Source organism: Homo sapiens, chromosome 21 (genome assembly GCF_000001405.40).
Source record: "Homo sapiens chromosome 21, GRCh38.p14 Primary Assembly".
Taxonomy (NCBI): domain Eukaryota; kingdom Metazoa; phylum Chordata; class Mammalia; order Primates; family Hominidae; genus Homo; species Homo sapiens.
Genome location: NC_000021.9, coordinates 43628302 through 43650899, shown reverse-complemented (window position 1 = coordinate 43650899; position 22598 = coordinate 43628302). Strand labels below are relative to the sequence as shown.

General features: G+C 41.1%; 1 protein-coding gene across 17 annotated transcripts in view; it reads left to right on the top strand.

Annotated features, from left to right (window-relative positions):
- Positions 1-22598, top strand: part of HSF2BP (heat shock transcription factor 2 binding protein) — a 214517-nt gene that overhangs the window by 8589 nt on the left and 183330 nt on the right. For 10 of the 17 annotated variants that reach the window (XR_007067782.1, XR_007067781.1, XR_007067780.1 and 7 more), the window contains 3 exons: positions 6508-6611; positions 17479-17637; positions 20446-20578. Coding sequence is in view for 14 of the 17 variants with exons in the window: in XM_017028269.2 (XP_016883758.1) it covers positions 6508-6611; positions 17479-17637; positions 20446-20578 (396 nt within the window). In the remaining 3 variants the exon portion in view is untranslated. The remainder of the gene's footprint in view (positions 1-6507; positions 6612-17478; positions 17638-20445; positions 20579-22598) is intronic. The other 7 variants (XM_017028267.2, XM_047440675.1, XM_047440678.1 and 4 more) reach the window with 1 other exon arrangement.

Genomic DNA, 22598 nt, shown 5'->3' with positions numbered 1-22598 from the left:
CCCATCTCTACTAAAAATACAAAAATTAGCCGGGTGTGATGGCATGTACCTGTAATCCTGGCTACTCAGGAGGCTGAGACAGGAGAATCGCTTGAACCCAGGAAGCAGAGGTTGCAGTGAGCTCAGATCATGCCACTGCACTCCAAACTGGGTGACAAAGTGAGACTCCATCTCAAAAAAAAAAAAAAAAAAAAAAAGCAAGCCTGAAAACACTATAGGAACCTCCATTTGACTTGTTAAGGTAGTGGCACTTAAGTACTTAGTAAGATATCACCCTCTGTTTTCTTTCATCCCTTCTTGTGCTTTATTCATCCAACAGTGGTGAATAAATCAGTGGGTATCAAAAATTTGTTTAAAACTAGGAAAATCCTATTTTTTATAAATAAAATTTTATGGGCCGGGCACGGTGGCTCATGCCTGTAATCCCAGCACTTTGGGAGGCCGAAGTGGGCGGATCACGAGGTCAGGAGATCGAGACCATCCTGGCTAACATGGCGAAACCCTGTATCTACTAAAAATACAAAAATTAGCCGGGCATGGTGGCGGGCGCCTGTAGTCCCAGCTACTCGGGAGGCTGAGGCAGGAGAATGGTGTGAACCCCAGAGGCGGAGCTTGCAGTGAGCCGAGATCGCACCACTGCACTCCAGCCCGGGCGACAGAGCGAGACTCTGTCTCAAAAAAAAAATTATATAATAGTATATGATGGTTCTAGATGTAAAATAGATGAAAACTGTATCTTCTGGGTATTTGTTTTTAAAATTAAGTTTTAGAACATTGACTTATAAAATCAGTAAGTACAATGAAGGTGGTGCGATGAAAACACAAATTTAGTATCAGGGATTTTGGAAGGTACTTGGATGATCACTTTCAGCATCCAGTTTGTTTTTAGTTTTGCTTGTGAAGTCGCAAGAAGACACAATCCCACAGATAAGGAGTTGCAGATGGTGGTTTTGAAGTAGTTCACCTAGCAACATGAAGACACTTTCTAATTAAACTGATATGAAGCTTGAAATAAGAGGAGTCAGATATTTTTGTTTTACAATTAAATCGCTAAGATCGAGCAATTCTTTGCTTTCCTTGATTGGCAATTGTTCATTTTGGAGAGAAATAATAAAAAAGCCATTCAGTCTGTTTAAATCTTCATTGTCTTACAGAAAACACTTTTCATGCATTATGCTGCATTTGACAATTTGGCACCTTAGTGGCAGTCAGATATTCACTGACAGTCTCAGAGGAGCTGGAATTATTTTTGTATGTTGACAGCACACCTAAAATGTTGGCCTCATTTCTGAAATAATTAAAATGTTAAATAATTTTAACCTTTTAAAATTTGTTTATATGTTTTTTGATGTTAATGTGAACCAGCCTTGTTTTGGTCATTGAAAATATCAGCAGTGAATGCGAACTAGTGTAGCCATGATACGCTGGTGAGATATTTGACCAACAGATTTTTCTTTCTTTTTTTTTGAGATGGAGTCTCCCTCTGTCACCCAGGCTGGAGTACAGTGGCATCATCTTGACTCACTGCAACCCCAGCCTTCCTGGTTCATGCCATTCTCCTGCCTCAGTCTCCCGAATAGCTGGGACTACAGGTGCGCGCCATCATGCCCGGCTCATTTTTGTATTTAAAAATTTTTTTTCAAAAAAATAAAAAAAACCCCAAACTGAAAAACAAACAAAAGGCCAGGCGCGGTCAGCACACCTGTAATCCCAACTACTTGGGAGGCTGAGGCAGGAGAGTCGCTTGAGCCCAGGAGGCAGAAGTGACAATGAGTTGAGATCATGCCACTGCACTCCAGCCTGGGCAACAGAGGGAAACTCCATCTCAAAAAAATTTTTTTAATTAAATAAATGAATGATGAGCAAATGAGGCAAACAAAATGTTAATAGTAGGTAAGTCTGGGTAAAGAGAGATAACAGGAATTTTTTTTGGCATTAGTTTTTGTGAATTTGAAATTACTTCCAAATAAAAATTGTAAATAACATTGTAAAATGGAGATATTAATTGAATGTTTATGGGACTGTAGTTGTTCCCCAGGTACTCTTAGATTCTTAGCAGTAGGATTTGAAAACCACTGCGCTATGTGATTTCTAAAGTGTAGGATATTTTGAGATTAATTTCCTGAGAGTTTGATACGGGGTACCCCCATTTCAGTTCTGGGAAGAATTATTTGTAGTCTGTAGAAATAAGAACTTGAGAAATATCCATGAAGAGTAGAACCAAAGAGTCAGCACCAAAAAAGGATTATTACTTTGACTCGGAGTTTATTGTGGCCCAGATAAAAGAACATGAAGAGTGTGTCACATCCATATCCTGGCAGGGAACAAAAGGAGTAAACGGAGTAAAGTGAAGAGATTAAAGTGTGATCAGGGTTGGGGGAACCAGTGCCTGGAGAAAGAAGCATCCGGGAACTAACGAGTGGAGCGCCATTGCCTCCCCTGGGCTGAAGGAGCAGAAGGGAGAGAGGTACCAGACGTGGCGAGAGGCGTTGCTCCAGACAAGATGCTTGACAGCACCTGGGACCTCACCCAGGAGGATGAAGCCCAGCAGGGAGGATGGAGTGGGGAGACATGTCCCATCCTTGGTCATCTTCTCTAGTCCTCCAGTTTCCTGCGGGGCTGCTATTGCATCCAACAGGAAGCCATAGGACGAGGGAGCCTTGTTACTGTGGGTCTTCACATCTGCCTCTTGGGGCACAGATCAGGGTGGAGATTGTCCAGAACATAGGAAAGTAGAGGGAAAAAAAACACTTGGGGAGCTTATGGACAGAGAAGGTGGCAAGGTGGTCAAGATGGAGGCGGAAGAGGTGTGTGGTGTTTTAATATCACCCGTGACCGCTCTGCTGTTCATGTCATATATGTGTGTCAGTGAATGAAAAGCAAAATTCCCTGACTCTGGTTTGGGAAATCAACAGAATTAATTTGAGTTCAGCAAGATTGATTTTAGTTTTTTTTTTTTTTTTTTTTTTTTGAGATGAAGTCTTGCTCTGTCGCCCAGGCTGGAGCGCACTGGCGTGATCTTGGCTCACTGCAACTTCCGCCTCCCAGGTTCAAGCAGTCCTCATACCTCAGCCTCCCGAGTAGCTGGGACTATGGGCGTGTACCACCACGCTGGGCTAATTTTTGTATTTTTAGTAGAGATGGGGTTTTGCCATGTTGTCTAGGCTGCTCTTGAACTCCTGACCTCACATACCAGGTGATAAAGAAATGGTAAGATAAATTGACGCCGTTTGTGCAGTTTTCTTTGATTAGTGTTTTAGAAACCCTTATTTTCCTTTCTAGCTTTCTGTACCCTCCCTGTGAATAAATTGAGCATCAAGAGACACAGCCATTCTCATGTTATTAGACCTGTATTAAGAAAGGATTATGGACTGCGTGCAGCAGCTCACGCCTGTAATCCCAGCACTTTGGGAGGCCAAGATGGGCAGATCACTTGAGGTCAGGAGTTCAAGACCAGCCTGGCCAACATAGTGAAACCCCATCTCTACTAAAAATACAAAAATTAGCCAGGCGTGGTTGGTGGCAGGCGCCTGTAGTCCCAGCTACTCGGGAGGCTGAGTTAAGAGGATCACTTGAACCTGGGAGGCGTTGGTTGCAGTGAGCTGAGATCGTGCCACTGCACTGACAGAGAGACACCGTCTCGGGGAAAAAAAAAATTGTTGTTTCAGAAGATACATAGATGTTTAAATGGTCTATGATTTAGGTTGTTTGTAATATTCACTGTTCATATTATTTCTGTCTCTGGGCTTAAAAAAATATAAAAGTAATATATTCTTATTGTATGAGAATGAGACATACAGATAAAGTAGCCATGTGTTTTTCTTGGTTCAAAGATTAGCAGAAGGAATGTATAAAGAAGTGAAATAAATTTATGTGACAAATATTTATGTATTGCCTACTATATTCCATATAGACATTTGGAGGGTGGGCATAGAAGAAAACCTATGCAAATCCCTGCCTTCAGGGTGCTTTTAGGTAGCATGCATGCAGTGGGGCCAAGTTGAAAATGCAAGGTCAGGGTTCTGTTCCGAGGCAGCAGCAATGCTCCCATCTGGCCACAAGGTGGCGGCCTCATACAGCAGAAGGGCACTTGTCACCTCCCCAGGAGCCTGGCGTAGATGGGTGTGGCCTCCCTGATGACTGACTGGAATTCTATGAGATTGCCTATCGTAGAGTGGGATGTTTTAACCCTGTCCCTTTGGTATGTTAACTTACACTAGGGTTGCATACAGCTGTCTGGAACAAGTGATTATGAAATTACCGTAATGCAAGAGAGCCGTTTTGGGTGGTCAAAGTTAATTCCCACAGGTTTTTACACATGATAAGGCTTGTAGAGATTTCCTGTCTCTTTTACCATGTTTGAGTAATATACCGTTTAATAGTAGAAGCCAAATTTAACAGTTAAATGCAAAGAAAAAATTTTAAATCACAAATTTCATCTCAGTTTTTCAGTTTGTTCATTTTTGTCTGTGACCATAGGTGGTATTTCATATGATTGTAGTGTGTATGTGTATAAATAATGTATTTCCATTTAACTTTGTTACAAATAATGCAAGTATGTAGTTTTTAAAGCATAGTGCTTCCTAGTTGATTTTTTGGCTGGGATTAGGATAAAATCAAGAATTCCAGTGAAAGTCATTGTGGCACAATATTTCTTAAAAGAGCAGAAAATGAAACTGTGATTTGAGGGAGAGGAAATAGTCCAAAGGCACTCTGCTCTATTTCTGAGAACCACTTTTTTTTTTTTTTTTTTAAGAGATGGGAGTCTTACCCTGGCTGGTCTCGAACTCCTGGCCTCAAGTGATCCTCCCACCTCAGCTTTCCAAAGTGCTGTAATTACACAGGCATAAGCCACCGAGCCGGGCCCCTAAGAAACGCATTTTATGAGAAGCTTTGCCAGCCAATTTTATGATGTTTAGCTGGTCTGAATATTTACTTTTAGGTTCTAATTTTTCTTCTAGGACGGGGTCTCTAGAAAATTTAGAGACTAGCTTGCTTTCTTCCTTCCTTTTTAACATTTCCTTTAGAGCTTTGGGGATACACGTGTGGTTCTAAGCAGTCCCCACAAGTGTCTTATTCTGGCTTCCTCTTGTCCTCTCAGACCCCTAGATTCGAAAGCCCTACCCGCTTCTCGTTTGTTTGCAGATAGTTGAGGAAGTGTCTGTGAGCTTTTTCTCCTCTAGGGTGGAGTAATGTTCCGTTTTCCAGGCGCCTGGCTCTTTGAGGCTTTCTCACTCATCGCAAGTGACAGTACAAGAATGAAACAGATAACCAGAGTTGCCTTGTGTTTTTCTCAGTTCAAGGATTAGGAGAGGGAATGTGTAAAGAAGTGAAATTCCTTCATGTGACAAATATTAGGTAGCTGCCTTCCATTACTCTCCATTTTTTTGCTTTTTCACATTCCTGTGGATGGGTTCCCTTGTTTGCTGTTGCTGGTCATGTGTTGCATGTTCATTTTATTTTATTGGTGATGAGAGACCAGGTTATCGCCCAGAAGTAGTTCTCAAAGTGTGGGTCCCAGACAGGCAGCATGAGTCTCATCTGGGAACTTGTTAGAAATGTAAATTCTCAGGCTCACCCCAGACGTTCCAAATTGGAAACTGTGGATGGAACCCAGCCGACTCTGTATTATCAAGTCCTCCAGGGATTCTGATGTACGCTAAAGTTTGAGAATCATTGTCCTAAAGCATCGCTACTTTAATCAAAGAAGTTAGACCATTAGCTCTTAGCACCCTCAAATCTTGGTATATGTTGGCATAAAAACTGATGATTTCCTAGCTTTTGAGATCAAACACTTAAAAATTTGTATTATATATTTGTTTTTTCGAGTGTCAGTATTTCTGCAACATAAAATTTTAAATTTAAAGTTGATAGTACTTTTGCTTGATTTATTGACGTGGATTTTTTTGGGATTTTTGTTGGCTGTTGTTGACTCATCAACTAAATGAGTGCGGTGGAGAGGAAGTATTACATAGTTTCCACTCTTTCACTATAGCATTTTCTCATTTTTATCACTGTTCTTTCCCTCCTCCAGTGCCTACTACTGCAGTTGTTCCCATTGAGTCAGTCTGCCAGTGGGTGACACTAGCTTTGTGAATCAGCCTGTGCTGGCGCCGTGCACTCCCTGAGCTGCCTTCTGCTTTTCATGGAGTAGCGACAAGTCTGTGCCATGAGACAGTCGGGCTTCTCAGCTCTGCCTTCCATCCTTTAAATAACATGTTTTCTTGAAGCCTTGAGTACTAGTCTGGCAGTAAAGTGAAACCTTAAAAACACAAAACAGAAAACAACCAAAGTCCTTTGTGCTGTGGGCTAAAAACTGAGATGAACTTAGAGAACAGGACTGTTAGAATATTGGTTATTCAAGGACAGGCTAGAAGTCAAGAAATGCAAATATTCTCACCTAAGAAATCAGTACACATTTTACTAAGTCAAGACTGGGCAAAATAGATGCTTAGGGAGAGATTAGTGACTTGAAATATCTTGAGTAATTTTATGTCTTTCTCCTAGACCTGGAAAGGAAAGAGCAAGAATTAGAGCAGCTGAAAATGGATTGTGAGCACTTTAAAGCCCGCCTGGAAACCGTGCAGGCCGACAACATAAGAGAGAAGAAGGTACCATGCTCAGGGACAGACTCTCACCAAGCCAGAAAGTGGGGCTGGCTTACAGCCTTTCACTTATGATAAGCAGTGGGACTGAATTTTTTACTCTTAATCCTCAATAAATTGTATTTGTAAATGTATGTATTCTGAGTGGGTTGGAATGTAGTTGAACAGATGGATTTTATAACCATTTAACACGTAGATCATTCACTTGGTATCTTTTAACTTTTATGTTTAAAAATCTGCCCTACAACATAAAGGTTCATAATTATCTTAGTTCATTTTGTGTTGCTATAACAAAATATCTGATACTGAGTAATTAATTTTTTTTTTCCTTTTTTTTTTTGAGACAGAGTCTTGCTCTGTCGCCCAGGCTGGAGTGCAGTGGTGCAATCTCGGCTCACTGCAAGCTCCGCCTCCTGGGTTCACGCCATTCCCCTGCCTCAGCCTCCCGAGTAGATGGGACAGGTGGCCGCCACCACGGCCGGCTAAGTTTTTGTATTTTTAGTAGAGACGGGGTTTCATTGTGTTAGCCAGGATGGTCTCGATCTCCAGACCTCTTGATCTGCCCGCCTCAGCCTCCCAAAGGGCTGGGATTACAGGCGTGAGCCATCACGCCCGGCGAGGCTGAGTAATTTATAAAGAAAAGAGGTTTATTTATGTCAAGATTTTGGTGGCTGGAAGGTTCAAGATTGGGCATCTTTTTCTGGTGAGGGCCTCAGGCTGCTTCAAATCATGACAGAAGGGGAGCTGGCTGTGTGACGAGATCACATGATGAGAGAAAGCAAGAGAGAGAAACTGAGGAAGCCAGACTCTTTACCAACCTGCTCTCAGGGAAACTAATCCATTCCTGTGAGAGCAAGAACTCACTCACCCTCCAGAGAGCACATTAATCGCTTCATGAGGAATCCACTCCCATGACCCATACACCTCTCACTAGGCCCCACCTCTCAAGAGTGCCACATTGGGGATCAAATTTCAACATGAGTTTGCAGGGGGACAAACCATAGCGATGAGAGTCTCGGAGGAAAAAATCATGTACATAATATCTTATAGTTGGACATAGATGTATTAAATCAGAAGTACATGTAATTAATTTGGGGATTATTACATTTTAGCCAGTTATATTTTATATAAATATTAGAGAAACTAATATTTCTTAAAAATTGCTTAGTTTAACTTTTTGTGTGGCATAACTTCCTTTTCCATAGAACTAGAACTATTCTGACACTTTTTATAAAATTTGGGGCCTGGATATATTTTTATTTTGGATGATAATAGTACTAACAGGCCAGGTACAGTGGCTCAAGCCTGTAATCCCAGCACTTTGGGAGGCCAGGGTGGGCGGTTCGCTTGCGGTCAGGAGTTCGAGACCAGCCTGGCTGAGGCAGGAGAATTGCTTGAACCTGGGAGGTGGAGGTTGCAGTGAGCCGAAATCGTGCCACTGCACTCCAGCCTGGGCAACAGAGCGAGACTCTGTCTCAAAAAAAAAAAAAAAAAAAAAAGAAAAGAAGCCATTCCAGTAAATGCATACTGAGAAGAAGGAAACAGCCATGGTAAAGTAGCATTGAAATCGCTAGGGTTTTGTTGCCCTGGAACTTTGACCTTAAAATGTGGGAATATTTTACCCAACTATTCCCTATTTATAGTTAAAAATCTTGTTGAATAGTCCAATTTAATATAGAGGGAAGCCCCTGCAAGGTGAATACAGAGGGAAGCCCCTGCAAGGTGAATGCAGAGGGAAGCTCCTGCAAGGTGAATACAGAGGGAAGCTCCTGTAAGGTGAATACAGAGGAAAGCTCCTGCAAGGTTGCTGTAACAAGGCCATTTCTCTTCTAGCAGCTGCCTTATCTGTAGCCTTTGCTGTAGTCTCTGTTGAGGCCTGTACGGATCATGAGGAGGGACTCTAGAAACTTATTTTATTTATTTATTTATTTTTTGAGACAGGGTGTTGCTCTGTTGCCAGGCTGGAGTGCAGTGGTGCAATAATAGTTGCAGTAGCTTCGACCTCCTGGGCTTAAGCGATCCTCCTCCTTGGCCTCCAGAGTGGCTGGGACTACAGAGATGTGCCATGACATCCAGCTAAATTTAATTAATTAATTAATTTTTATTTTTTACAAGAACAATTCTATTGTATAATTTTTAAAACAATTTTTAAAATTTTTTTATAGAGATGGGGTCTCACTATGTTGCCCAAGTTGGTCTTCAACTCCTGGGCTCAAGTGATCCTCCTGCTTTGGGCCTCCCAAAATGCTGGGATTACAGGCATGGGCCACTGCACCTGGCCCTGGAAACTTATTATAGAATTGAGGACCCAGGAAAGAATCCAGAGACTAGATCCTCAATTAGATTACTGCTAGTAAGTACTTTTTTTTTTTTTTTTTTGAGACAGAGTCTTGCTCTGTCGTCCAGGCTGGAGTGCAGTGGCACAATCTCAGCTCACTGCAACCTCCACCTCCTGGATACCTGGGATTACAGGCACGTGCCACCATGCCTGGCTAATTTTTGTATTTTTAGTAGAGATGAGGTTTCGCCATGTTGGCCAGGCTGGTCTTGAACTCCTGACCTCAGGTGATCCATCCACTTTGGTCTCCCAAAGTGCTGGGTTTACAGGCGTGAGCCACCGTGCCTGGCTGCTAGTAAGTACTTCTGTATGAGTGAAAAATTACTAGGAAAAGGCAGAAGTTATTGAGTTCAATATGTAAGAAAAGGTCAGAAACAAAGTATGGAACCCAAATCATAAAGTGTGATGTATGAGCAAGCAGCTTCTGAACCCCTAGAGAAAGGCTACTCAAACAAGGAAGACTTTGTTCCTGGCCATGGTGGAGATGTTTCCTCCACAGAGATTTTGTTGGGTCAGTGGAGGAGGTGCACTGGGTCTTGATACCTGCTTATGATGTGAGGAGGCTGGGCCAGGAAAGAGTCCTGGCAGTAGCAACGTTTGAACTTTAGAGGAAAAAGATCCCAGCTTCCTGGTAAAGGCACAACTGTTGGAGAATATTGGCCGGGCGCGGTGGCTCACGCCTGTAATCCCAGCACTTTGGGAGGCTGAGGTGGGCGGATCATAAGGTCAGGAGATCGAGACCATTCTGGCTAACACGGTGAAACCCCGTTTCTACTAAAAAAAGAAAATACAAAAAATTAGCCAGGCGTGGTGGTGGGCGCCTGTAGTCCCAGCTACTCGGGAGGCTGAGGCAGGAGAATGGCGTGAACCTGGGAGGCGGAGCTTGCAGTGAGCCAAGAAACTTTTAAAAGAAAAATTGTAGTTAAGCTAAAATACAGAATGAACTACAGAAAGATATTGAGGAAATCTTGGGAGTTTTGTGCTTGATAAACTGTTATGTATGAGTATTCCTTTAAACAGGAAAATATATCAGGGTTTGATTATTGTTTCTTTAAAACAGCATTATTGAGGTATATTTTGTACCACAAAAATTTTTTTGCATTGTAATTGTATAGTTTGATAGTTTTTAGTAAATTTATACAGCTTTTTTTTTTTTGGTTAAAATTTTTTGGTCCAATCCCACTGGAAACAAAAAAATTTTTTTGTGTTTACTTATAGATTCACTAGAAGTTTCAAAAAGTCCAGGGAAGTTATCTATACCCTTCACCCGGTTTTCCCTAGTGGTGATATCTTGCGTAACTATAGTAGAAGATAAAAACCAGGAAATTGGAATTGGTACAATTAACAACTTTCAGGTTTCACCAGTTTCACCTGGACTTCTTTGTATTTCATCAATTCTGTATGTACTCATTTGTGTGTGCATGTATGTACATAGTTCTGTGCAATTTTATGACATTTGTAGATTCATGTAACCACCACCACACTTGGAACTGTACCATTGCCGTAAGGCTCCTTGGTGCTACCCCTTTATAGCCACATCCACCCCATTCCCTCTGCCTTGCCCCTGGCAATCACTAATACATTTTCCATCTCTAATTTTGTTATCTCAAGAATGTCATAACGTAGAATAACCTTTTGCGACTGACTTTTCCTTGAGACAGAGTCTCACTGTGTCACCCAGGCAGTGACATGCAGTGGCAGGATCATGGCTCACAGCATCCTTGACCTCCTGGGCCAAAGCAGTCCTCCCATGTCAGCCTCCCAAGTAGCTAGGTCCACAGGCACATGTCACCATGCCCAGCTAATTTTTAATTTTTTTTGTAGAGACAGGTTCGCTATGTTACTCAGGCTGGTCTTGAACCCCTGGGCTCAGTTGATCCTTTGGCCTTGTCCTCCCAAAGTGCTGGGATTACAGGCATGAGCCATGGGTGCCTGGCAGAGACTGACTTTCACTCAGATACATCCAAGTTGCATGTATCGTTAGATATTTTTATTGCCTCATATTCCATGGTATGTATATGTTGCAATTTGTTTGCAATATGTTGTAATTCCTCCACTGAAAGAAGTTTGAATAGTTCTTACGGTTTTTTTTTCTATTACTGATAAAGACACTAGTAACATCCATGTATAGGTTTTTGTGTGAATGTGTGTCTTTATTTTTGTGTGATAAATGCCCGAGAGTACAATTACTGGGTTGTATGGTAAGTGCACATTTAGTTTTGGAAGAAATTGCCAAATTGTTTTCCAGAGTGTCTGTACCATTTTAGAGTCCCACCAAAATGTATGAGTGATTCACTTTCTCCATGTCCTAACCAGTATTTGGTGTTATTCTATTTTGAATTTTAGTCATTTTGATAGGTTTGTTGTGGTTTTAATTTGCATTTCCCTAACAGCTAATGATGTTGAGCATCATTTCATGCATTTATTTTCTGTCTGTGTATTCTCTTTTATGAAATGTTTTTTTCGTGTCTTTTACCCATGTTCTAATTGGATTTTTTCTTTTTTTACTTTTGCGTTTGAGCTCTTGATATATTCTAGATAGAAGTCCTTTGCTGAGTATATGTTTTGCAAGTCTTTTCTCCCAGTCTGTAGCTGCTCTTTTCATCTTCACAGGTTCTTTCAAAAAGCGAATGTTTTAAATTTTAATGAAGTCCAATTTACTGATTTCTCCTTTTATAGACTGTTTTCTTGTTGTTATGTCTAAGAATTTTTCACATAGCTCTAGGTCACCACAATTTTCTCCCATTCTTTTTTCTTAATGGTTTTATAGTTTTACATTTTACATTTAAGTCTATGATTCATTTTGAGTTAATTTTTGTAGAAGGTATGAGGATTAAGTTCAAGTTAATATTTTTTTCTTTGGCTTATCGTTGTCCAGTTGCTTCAGCACTGTTTCTCAAAAAGACTCTCTCTCCTTCATTGAATTGCTTTTGCACCATTGTCAAAATTCAGTCATACTGGCCTGGGTCTGTTGTGGGTTCTCTACTCAGGTACTTTGATCTGTTCCTGCACCAATAATACATTATTCTGATTACTGTAGCGACATAGTAAGCCTTAACACTGGATAAAATGATTCTTCCCATTTCATTCCTCTTTTTCAGAGTTGCCCTAACTATTCTAGCTTCTTTGCTTTTCCGCATAAATTTTAGAGTAAGCTTGTTTATGTCTACAAAAACCTTGCTGGAATTTTAATAGAAATTGTGGTACGTTTGTAGATCAGTTTGTAGAGAATTGATATCTTTACTATGTTGAATCTTTCAATTCATAAACATAGCATGTCTCTCCATTTCTTTAAGTTGTCTTTAATTTCTTTCATCAGCAGTTTACAATTATTTTCAGCATCTAGATTTGTGTTAGATTTTTACCTAATTATTTTCAGCATACACATTTGTATTAGATTTTTACCTAAGTATTTAATTTTATTTGGAGTAACCGTAAATGGTATTGTGTTTTTAATTTTGGTTTCCATTTTTTAATTAGCACATAGAAATGTGGTTGCTTTTTGTTTGTTTATCTTGTCCCCCAGGCTGGAGTGCAGTGGTGTGATCGCAGCTCACTACAACCTCTGCCTCTCAGGTTCAGGCAATTTTCCTGCCTCAGCCTCACGAGTAGCTGGGATTACAGATGTGCGCCACCATGCCTGGGTAATTTTTGTATTTTTAGTACAGACACAGTTTTACCATGTTGGCCAGGCTGGTCTCGAATTCCTGACCTCAAGTGATCCGCCTGCCTTGGTCTCTTGGTGCTGGGATTACAGGTGTGAGCCACCGCACCCGGCCCCTGTAGTCTTTCTGAACTCTTTTTGACTTCTAGGAGTTCTTTTATGGATTTCTTGAGATTTTCTACATGGACAATCATGTCATCTGAAAATAGGGGCTGTTCTAGTTCTTCATTCTGCTTTGTATACCTTTTATTTCTTCCTCTTTCCTTCTTGCGTAGCCAGGCCTTCCAGCACTACAGCACTGTGCTGAATAAGAGTGGTGAGAGTGGATATCTTTGCCTTGTTCCTGATCTCAGGGGAAAGTATTCAATCTTTCAGCGTTAATTATGATTTTAGCTGTAGGTTTTTGCAGATGCGTTTATAAAATTGAGAAGGTTCCCCTCTATTCCTAGTTTGCTGAGTTCCTTTTTTCTTTCTTTTTTTTTTTTCCAGAGACAGGGCCTCACTCTGTAGCCCAGGCTGGAGTGCAGTAGTGTGATCAAAGCTCACTGCAGCCTTGAACTCCTGGGCCCAAAGGATCCAATTGCCTGAACCTCCTGAGTCTATAGGCATATGCCACCATACAGCTAATTTTTTTTTTTTTTAAGTTTTTGTAGAGATAGGGTCTTGCTGTGTTGCCAAGGCTGGTCTCCAAGTTCTCTCTCTTGTCAAGTGAACCTCCCACCTTGGTTCCTTAAAATGCTGGGATTACAGGCATGAGCCACTGGGCCTGACTGAGAATTTTTATTTATTTATTTATTTATTTATTTTTATAATTACTGAGTGTTGGATTTTGTCCAATCAACTTTTAGAACATTTCCATCACATATCTGTTGCAATTAGTCCCTGCTCTCTTGCACAGCCCCAGGCAAACACTGATCTTTCTGTCTCTTTAGATTTCCTTTTCTGAATATTTTGTAGGAACAGAATTATATAATATGTGTATAATATGTAGTCTTCTGTGTCTGGCATAATGTTTTGAAGGTTTATTTGTGTTATAGCATACATCATTTATTCTTTTTTATTGCAAAACAATATTCCATTGGATGGATATATCACATTTTCTTCATCCATTCACCAGTTGATGGGCATTTAGATTGTTTCCAGTTTTCTTTTTTTCTTTTTTATTTTATAGATGCAGGGTTTCGCCATGTTGGCCAGGCTGGTCTCGAACTCCTGGCCCCAAGTGATCTGCCCGCCTTGGCCTTCCAAAGTGCTGGGATTATAGGCGTGAGCCACTTCGCTCGTCCTGTTCCAGTTTTTGACTGTTATGAATAATGCCACTATAAACATTTGTGTACAGGTTTTTCTGCGGTCGTATGTTTTCATTTTTCTTTATTTCTTTTTTTTTTTTTTTTTTTTGTTTTGAGACGGGGTTTCGCTCTCGCCCAGGCTGGAGTGTAGTGGTGTGATCTCCGCTTACTGCAGCCTCCACCTCCCAGGTTCAAGCAATTCTTCTGCCTCAGCCTCCTGAGCAGCTGGGATTACAGGCTTACGCCACCACACCCAGCTAATTTTTGTATTTTTATTAGAGACAGGGTTTCACCATGTTGGCCAGACTGGTCCTAAACTCCTGACCTCAAGTGATCCGCCTGCCTCGGCCTCTCAAAGTGCTGGGATTACCATCGCGCCCGGACACATTTATATGTTTTCTTTGGTTAAATATCTCTTCAAATCTTTTGCCCATTTTTAATTGGGTTGTCTTATTGATGTGTAAGAATTCTTTAATCTGGACACAAGTCCTTTTTTAGATATGTGATTAGAAGTACTTTCTCTTAGCCTGTGGCGTGTCTTTTTACTTTCTTTATAAGGTATCTTTTGAAGAGTAGAACTTTTAAGTTTTGATGAAACTTACTTTATTATTATTTTTTAATAGGTCATGATTTTGTGATATCTAAGAAATATTTGCCTAACCTATGGTCATAACGATTTTTTTGAGAAATTTTACATTTATGTTTATGATTCTCTTTTTTTCCCCTTCGTTTTTTCTTTTCTTTTCTTTTCTTTTCTTTTCTTTTCTTTTCTTTTCTTTTCTTTTCTTTTCTTTTCTTTCTTTTTTTTCTTTCTTGAGATGGTGTCTTGCTCTGTCACCTAGGCTGGAGTGTAGTGGTGTGATCATGGCTCACTTCAGCTTCGACCTTCCAGGCTCAAGTGATCCTACTTCAGCCTCACCATGCCTGGCTATTTAAAAAAAATTTTTTTTTTTTTTTGTAGAGATGGGGTCTCACTATGGTGCCCAGGATGGTCTCGATCCTCCCGTCTCAGCCTCCCAAGGTACAATTAGCCACTGTGCCTGGCCTATGATTCTGTTTTTTTTTTTTTTTTTTTGAGATGGAGTCTCGCTCTGTCACCCAGGCTGGAGTGCAGTGGCACGATCTCGGCTCACTGCAGTCGCCCCCTCCTGGGTTCAAGCGATTCTCCTGCCTCAGCCTCCCGAGTAGGTGGGATTATAGGTGGGATTACAGGCCCGTGCCACCATGCTCAACTAACTTTTGTATTTTTAGTAGAGACGGGGTTTTACCATGTTGGTCAGGCTAGTCTTGAACTCCTGACCTCAAGCAATCCACCCACCTCAGCCTCCCAGAATGCTAGGATTGTAGGTGTGAGCCACCGCACCCGGCCCTATGATTCATTTTGAATTATTTTTTTTTTGCATATGAATATTCGGTTGTTTTAGCATCAGTTGTTGAAAAGACTATCCTTTTTCCATTGAATTGCATTGGCACCTTTGTTAAAATCAGTTGACATGTCAGTGTTTCACTGATCTATATGTCCATCCTTATAGCAATACCACAATGGTTCTATTTCGGTAGGTTTATAGTTAGTTTTTTCCTCTAAATCAGGCACTGTTAGTCTTCTAACATTGTTCTTCTTTTTCAGACAATTTTTTAGATATTCTGTCTTGAATTTCCATAGAAATTTTAGAATCAGATTATCACTTTGTACAGAAGTCTGCTGAGATTTTGATAGGGATTGTGTTGAATCTGTAGATCAGTTTGGGAAGAATTGACATCCTGCCAATTTTTGAACATGGTGTATCTCTTTATTTAGCTCTACTTTCTCTCAGTAATGCTTTGTAGTTTTCATTGTATAGGTCTTGCACCTTAAAAAATTATTCTTATTTTTGATGTTACTGGGAATGCTATGATTTTCTTTGAGGTTTGTTTGTTTTTTTTTTGATATTATTATACTATGTGTGGAACCCTGCGTTGGGGAATATCCTCCTGCAACTACCAAATGTGACTGTAGTGAGCAAAGTCCTTCCTGGTTCTTCTCAGTAGTCTTTTTGTGGTCGTGCAGAAGAACCACCATATCCTGACTAATTGAGATGCAGACAGCTTAAGTTGTGAGAAAAGCTAGAATTCCAAAAGGAAGTGCTGTGACATAGTTTTCTTCATGTGTCACCATGACTTGTGTTCAGCTACGTACACTGAAAGGATGAATCTAGGAGTCCAGATTGTTGCTATAATGAAGACATTAAAAACCCGGAGCTGACAGATCACATGATGCAGTATTAGCATGTGCCAGAGGCTCAGTGGCCATTTTTTTCTTAAATACATGTGTGCATATACGTATGAATGTGTATGAATCTCTGTGTGCCAAACGCATTGTCTCCAGGTAACTATGAGTGGGCCACCCTAATCCAAGTTATGAGGTCAACAGTTTTGATTTGTGGCTCCAAAGCTCCCTTTTTCCTCCAGGGGGTGAAAAGCCCCCTCTACTTTGTCTTGTATTTATCTCTCTAAAAGAAAATCTACAGCATTTAATATACTTTAATTTTGTGGTTTATGTAACTAATTACATTTGGTATAAATGAATTTAACTGGGGTTTTATATTTTTCAGTTTTTGTCTTATTAAATCAGGAAATGCTATCACCTTTTAAGGGAATTTCAGGTACCTGGTGCTGGTGGTTGGAGAGGACAGGAAGCCCCCCATCACTCTAGCAGTACACTCAAGGTGAATCCTCGAAGTGTGCTTGTGTTGTCAGGAGGGCCATCAGGACGGCCATTCCCTGTGTTTCCCTTGTGAAGAGTGCCATGGTGGAGACTTGCCCAGCTACAGGTCACCTCAGACACTGCTGGTGGGAGAGTAGGAAACTCTTCCTAGCCTCCATCTTCTTCTTAGACTGGCACTGGCTTGCTGCACCAGGGCATGAATAGGACTCCCAGCCTTCACACTTCTTTTTGCCCCTCCTCCCATCTTTCCTACCTGGTCTTAGGTTTTAGGTTTTCTTTCCCTGTTTAGCTTCACAGATTGTATTTTATATTTACTGGCACCTTTGGCAATATTCTCATGAGGAGTTAAGGATACGTTTATACAGGATGAGTTTTTCTAAAGTACTTGTTTTTTTACAAATCCTGATGTCCAAGTGCCTTTTATTTGGTGTCTGCCTCTGGCAGATGGCGTTTTTTCAATGGAGTGAGCCATTTGGAGGAGGCAGTCTCCTGTCTTAGAAATGTTGCTTTCTGGGTAAATTGCTTTGTGAGGTTGTTTTTGTTCAGAAGCCTCGGTTGGTGCTGGTTCTGGGTATAGTTACTTGGGGCTTGAGATATTTCATGTAGTTACTTAAAGCAGATGAATTCAGCTCTGTGGGTTTATCAACCATAATGTGGTAGTATGTTCTTTCCTCAGATATTTCTCAAATATTTTTGCCTTTGAAATTTCTTTTGTAGATACAGATTATGGTTCTCTTAGGACTAGCTTTCATTTGCAACTATTTTCTATAATTATACATGCATTTCTTTAATAAATATCTTTGTGAAAGAGGAAATGTAATAAAGATATATCAAGGTTGAATGCTATTATTTATTTTTCAATTTTGTTTTGCTTTTAGGAGAAACTGGCTCTTCGACAGCAGTTGAATGAAGCGAAGCAGCAACTCCTGCAGCAGGCAGAGTATTGTACAGAAATGGGAGCAGCAGCGTGTACCCTCTTGTGGGGTGTCTCCAGCAGTGAGGAAGTCGTCAAGGCCATTTTGGGAGGAGTAAGTATGGTCAGTGGGCTCTCCAGATATTGTTGATTACTGCTTGTGTAAATTAGAGCATATAGCTTATTAAGGCATTTAAAGACTAAGTCCATATCTTTCCATTTTCTTTTGTTCACTCATCAGCTAGTTATTGAATACTTATCGTATATGGTTCATTGTAACCTGATGCAAAGGGAATGAAATAAGATCCCTTCTCTCCAGGAGACCTTGTGGTATATGTGGACATATTACCACTTCAGTATTAATACTTTACATGTGTTTAAGAAGATCAAAAGTGCTTTTATATATATTATCTCATGGTTAATATAGTATTTATTGAATATTGTGTTATCTAACATATATACATGTATGTAGATGTGTGTGTGTGTTTATACATACACACACACACACATACATATAGATGCAGAACCTTGAGCAACATGGAGGTTGGAGGCGCTGACCCCCTGCACAGTCGAAAAGCCACATAGAACTTTTGACTCTCTCTACTGTTGGCTGGAAGCCTTACTGACAACATAAATCGTTGATTAACACATTTTTTGTATGTTAGATCATCATGAAGGTCTTCCCCCTCATCATCTTCAAATTGAGTAGGCTGAAGAGGAGGAGGAAGAGGAGTGGTTGGGTTGGCATTGCTGTCTAAAGGGTGGTAGAGGTGGAGGAGGTGGAAGGGGAGGCTGGAGCAGCAGACACACTTGGTGTAACTTTTACTGAAGAAAATTCTTGTGTAAGTGGACCTGTGCAGTTCAAACCCTTGTTTTCAAGGTTCAACTGTGTGTGTGTGTGGCAGCGTGTGTGTGTGAGCATGTGTGTTTGAGCATGTGCATGTGTGTGTGACTGTGTGTGTGTGTGGGAGCATGTGTGTGTGGGGGAGTGTGTGTGTGTGGGGGGGGAGCGTGTGTGTGTGGGAGCGTGTGTGTATGGGAGCATGTGTGTGTGGGGGAGTGTGTGTGTGGGAGCGTGTGTGTGTATGTGGGAGCCTGTGTGTGTGTGTGGGGGGAGCGTGTGTGTGGGGGAGTGTGTGTGTGTGTGTGTGAGCCTGTGTATGTGGGATCGTATGTGTGTTTGTGTGGGGGAGCATGTGTGTGTGTGGGGGAGCGTGTGTGTGTGAGACTGTGTGAGTGTGTGTGTGGGAGCGTGTGTGTGTTTGGGGGAGCGTGTGTGTGGGGAGAGCGTGTGTGTGTGTGGGAGCGTGTGTATGTGGGAGCGTGTGTGGGGGGGGAGCGTGTGTGTGTGTGGGAGCATGTGTGTGTATGTGGGAGCCTGTGTGTGTGGGAGTGTGTGTGTGGGGAGCGTGTGTGGGGGGGGAGTGTGTGTGCCTGTGAGCCTGTGTATGTGGGATCGTGTGTGTGGGAGCGTGTGGGTGTGTGGGAGCATGTGTGTGTGTGGGAGCGTGCACACGCACATGTATGCATGCGTGCAGGCATTTGTCAGGGAACTTCACAGAAGGGGATAAATTTGAAATGGGCCTTGATGAATAGGTAGAAATGGCAGAAAATGGGTGGGTTTGTTTTAGGACAGTGAGTAGGTCAGTTGACACAGTGGAGAGTTAATGTCATAGAGTAGTGGGGAGGTAAAGCTTAAACGTAGGTTGGGATGTGACTTTGGGACCTTGAATACCAGGTTGGTGATTCATTCTGTAGGTGGGAAGACTGGATTTTCCCTAAGGGTTTTTCAATAAAAGTGATAGGATAAGAGCAGAATTTTAGAAAGATTCACCTGACAGTGGGTGAGGATGGATTAGGAGGTGGAGTTGTGGCACATCGCGTCTACACAGGATGACTGATGAGGTGGTCATTCTAGCTGGTCTGGCTGGAGTGAGCTCGGCCCTCTGCAGGGGAGATGGGAAAGAAGGAACATGTATGAGAGCTGTGGCAGTTGAGGCAGATGCGATGGCCGGGCAGAGTGGGCACCTGGAGGGGACAAGAGGAGCCAAAAAAGATCGGTGTTTGACTCTGGGAGCATGGCGTGATCATGACTGGAAATGAAGGTGAAGAGGGGGACGTGTGGCAGGAAACCAGTGAGAAATTAGTTACTGCTAATAGAAATAACAGTTGTGTTTGACTTTAGGTGGAAAGACTAAATGTGTTTTTAAAAGTTTGTTGAGCTTTATTAGGTTTAATTTACATACTGTAAGATTGTAAATGTACAATTTAGTGGTTTTTAGCAAATTTTTAGAGTTGCATTAACCATCACCACAACCCAGTTTTAGATTATTTGATCATCCATGAAGTTTTCTTATATCATTTGTAAATGCAAATATTTCCAATTTTTTAACTGGGTTAAAATGTACATTGGTTTTAAAATTCTTCTTCAGAACTCTAGCACCCCAAAGGAAGTAACTCAAAGGTTCAAACTTGGAAATGCTTTTTGCCAAGTGATGAAGATTTAAACTACCAGAGGAGCCAGTCTTTACCTCTTTTACATGTTTTCATTAAGATTTTTTTTTTTGAAAAAAGTTATGCTAAAGGTTTGAACACCTCTGGTTTAATGCCCAGAGCAAATAGGCAGCATGTTTTTCTAGTATATTTTTATTACATTTTGAGTGAATTCTTCCCATTTACTTTCATCATCATGTACATTTGTCCTATATCATATTTATGCGTGTGAAGAGTCCACCAATCTTCAGGGTAGTTTTTGTTGCTCCTGCATGCCTCAAGCTGCTTTCTCTGTTCTTTTAATGGGAACTTTTAATGAGGGAATAGATTTTACAATATTCTACAATTAAAACTAGAATCTTCTGTATCCTGCACTTTTAAAATGTTTTCACACTAGTGTCTGTAAAAAGATATGACACTCTGATTTTCAAACTTTCAGGATAAAGCTTTGAAGTTTTTCAGCATCACTGGTCAAACAATGGAGAGTTTTGTGAAGTCGTTAGACGGTGATGTCCAGGAGCTGGATTCGGATGAAAGTCAGTTTGTTTTCGCTCTGGCTGGAATTGTCACGAGTAAGTGCAGGCGCACCTGAGAGATGTTGCCTGTTTGCTTCCAGACCACTGCAGTAAAGCAAATACTGCAATAATACATGAGTCACATGAATGTTTTTGGTTTCCCAGTGCATATACAAATTATGTTTACACTATACTGTAGTCTGTTGTATGTACAATAGCATTATGTCTAAAAAATGTACAAACTTTAATTAGAAAATTCATTATTGCTAAAAATGCTAATGATCATCTGAGCCTTCAGCAAGTTACAATTTTTTGCTGGTAGAGGGTCTTGCCGTGATATTGATGACTGCTAACTGATCAGGGTGGTAGTTACTGAAGGTTGGGGTGGCTGTGCCAATTTCTTAAAATAAGGAACAATGAAGTTTGCCACATTGATTAATTCTTCCTTTCATGTAAGATTTCTCAGTAGCATGTGATGCTGTTTGATAGCATTTTTTCCACAGTAGAACATCTTTCAAAATTGGAGTCAGCCCTCTCAAACCTTACTGCTGCTTTGTCAACTAAGTTTATGTAATATTCTGAATCTCTTGTTCTTATTTCAACAATGTCTTAGCATCTTCACCAAGAGTAGATTCCATCTCAAGAAACCACTTTCTTTGTTCTTCCATAAGAAGCAACTTATCCTTTTTTTCTGCCACCACGTCTGTAGTTACTTACTCCACTGAAGTCATGAACCCTTCAAAGTCATCCATGAGGATTGAAATCAACTTCTTCCGAACTCCTGTTAATGTTGTTATTTTGACCTCCTCCCATGAATCATGAATATTCTCTTGTTGCCCAGGCTGGAGTGCAACGGCGTGATCTCGGCTCACTGCAGCCTCCACATCCTGTATTTAAGTGATTCTCCTGCCTCAGCCTCCCAAGTAGCTGGGATTACAGGCATGCGCCACCATGCCCAGCTAATTTTGTATTTTTAGTAGAGATGGGGTTTCTCCATGTTGGCCAGGCTGGTCTTGAACTCCTGACCTCAGGTGATCTGCCCACCTCAGCCTCCCAAAGTGCTGGGATTATAGGCATGAGCCACTGCGCTTGGCTGAATCATGAATATTCTTAATGGCATCTAGAATGGTGAATCCTTTTTAGAAGGTTTTCAGTTTACTTCACCCAGATCCATCAGAGGAATCACTGTCTATGGCAGCTGTAGCGTTATGAAATGTAGTTCTTAAAAAAAATAGGACTTGAAAGTTGAAATTTCTTTTTGATATATGAGCTGAAGAATAGGTATTGTATTAGCAGGCATGGAGTCAACATTACTTTCCTTGTACCTCTCCATCATGGCTCTTGATTGACCAGGTGCATTGTCAATGAACAGTAGTGTTTTGAAAGAAATCTTTTTTTCTGAGCAGTAGGTCTCAACAGTGGGCTGAAAATATTCAGTAAACCATGCTGGAAACAGGTGTGCTGTCATCCAGGCTTTGTTTTTCTATTTCTAGAGCATAGGCAAGAGTAGATTTAGCATAATTCTTAAGGGCTCTAGGATTTTCAGAATGGTTAAATGAGCATTGGCTTCAATTAAAGTCACCCGCACCATTGGCCCCTAACAAGAGAGTCAGCCTGTCTTTTGATGCTTTGAAGCCAGGCATTGACTTTTCTCTAGCGGTGAAAGTCCTAGATGGCGTCTTCTTCCAATAGAAAGCGACTTTGTCTACATTGAAAATCTCTTGTTTAGTGTAACCACCCTCGGCAGTGATCTTAGCTAGATCTTCTGGATAACTTGCTGCAGCTTCTCCATCAGCACTTGCTGCTGCACGTTGTTTTTATGTTATGGAGACAACTTCTTTCCTTAAACCTCATGAAGCAACCTGTACTAGCTTCCAGCTTTTCTTCTGCAGCTTCCTTACCCCTGTCAGCCTTCACAGAATTGAAGAGCATTGGGGCTTTTCTCTGAATTAGGCTTTGGCTTAAGGGATTTTTGATGATTTTTGATCTTCTGTCTAGAATACTTGGGCTTTCTCCATATCAGCAATAAGGCTGTTTTGCGTTCTTATCATTCATGTGTTCACTGGAATAGAGCTTT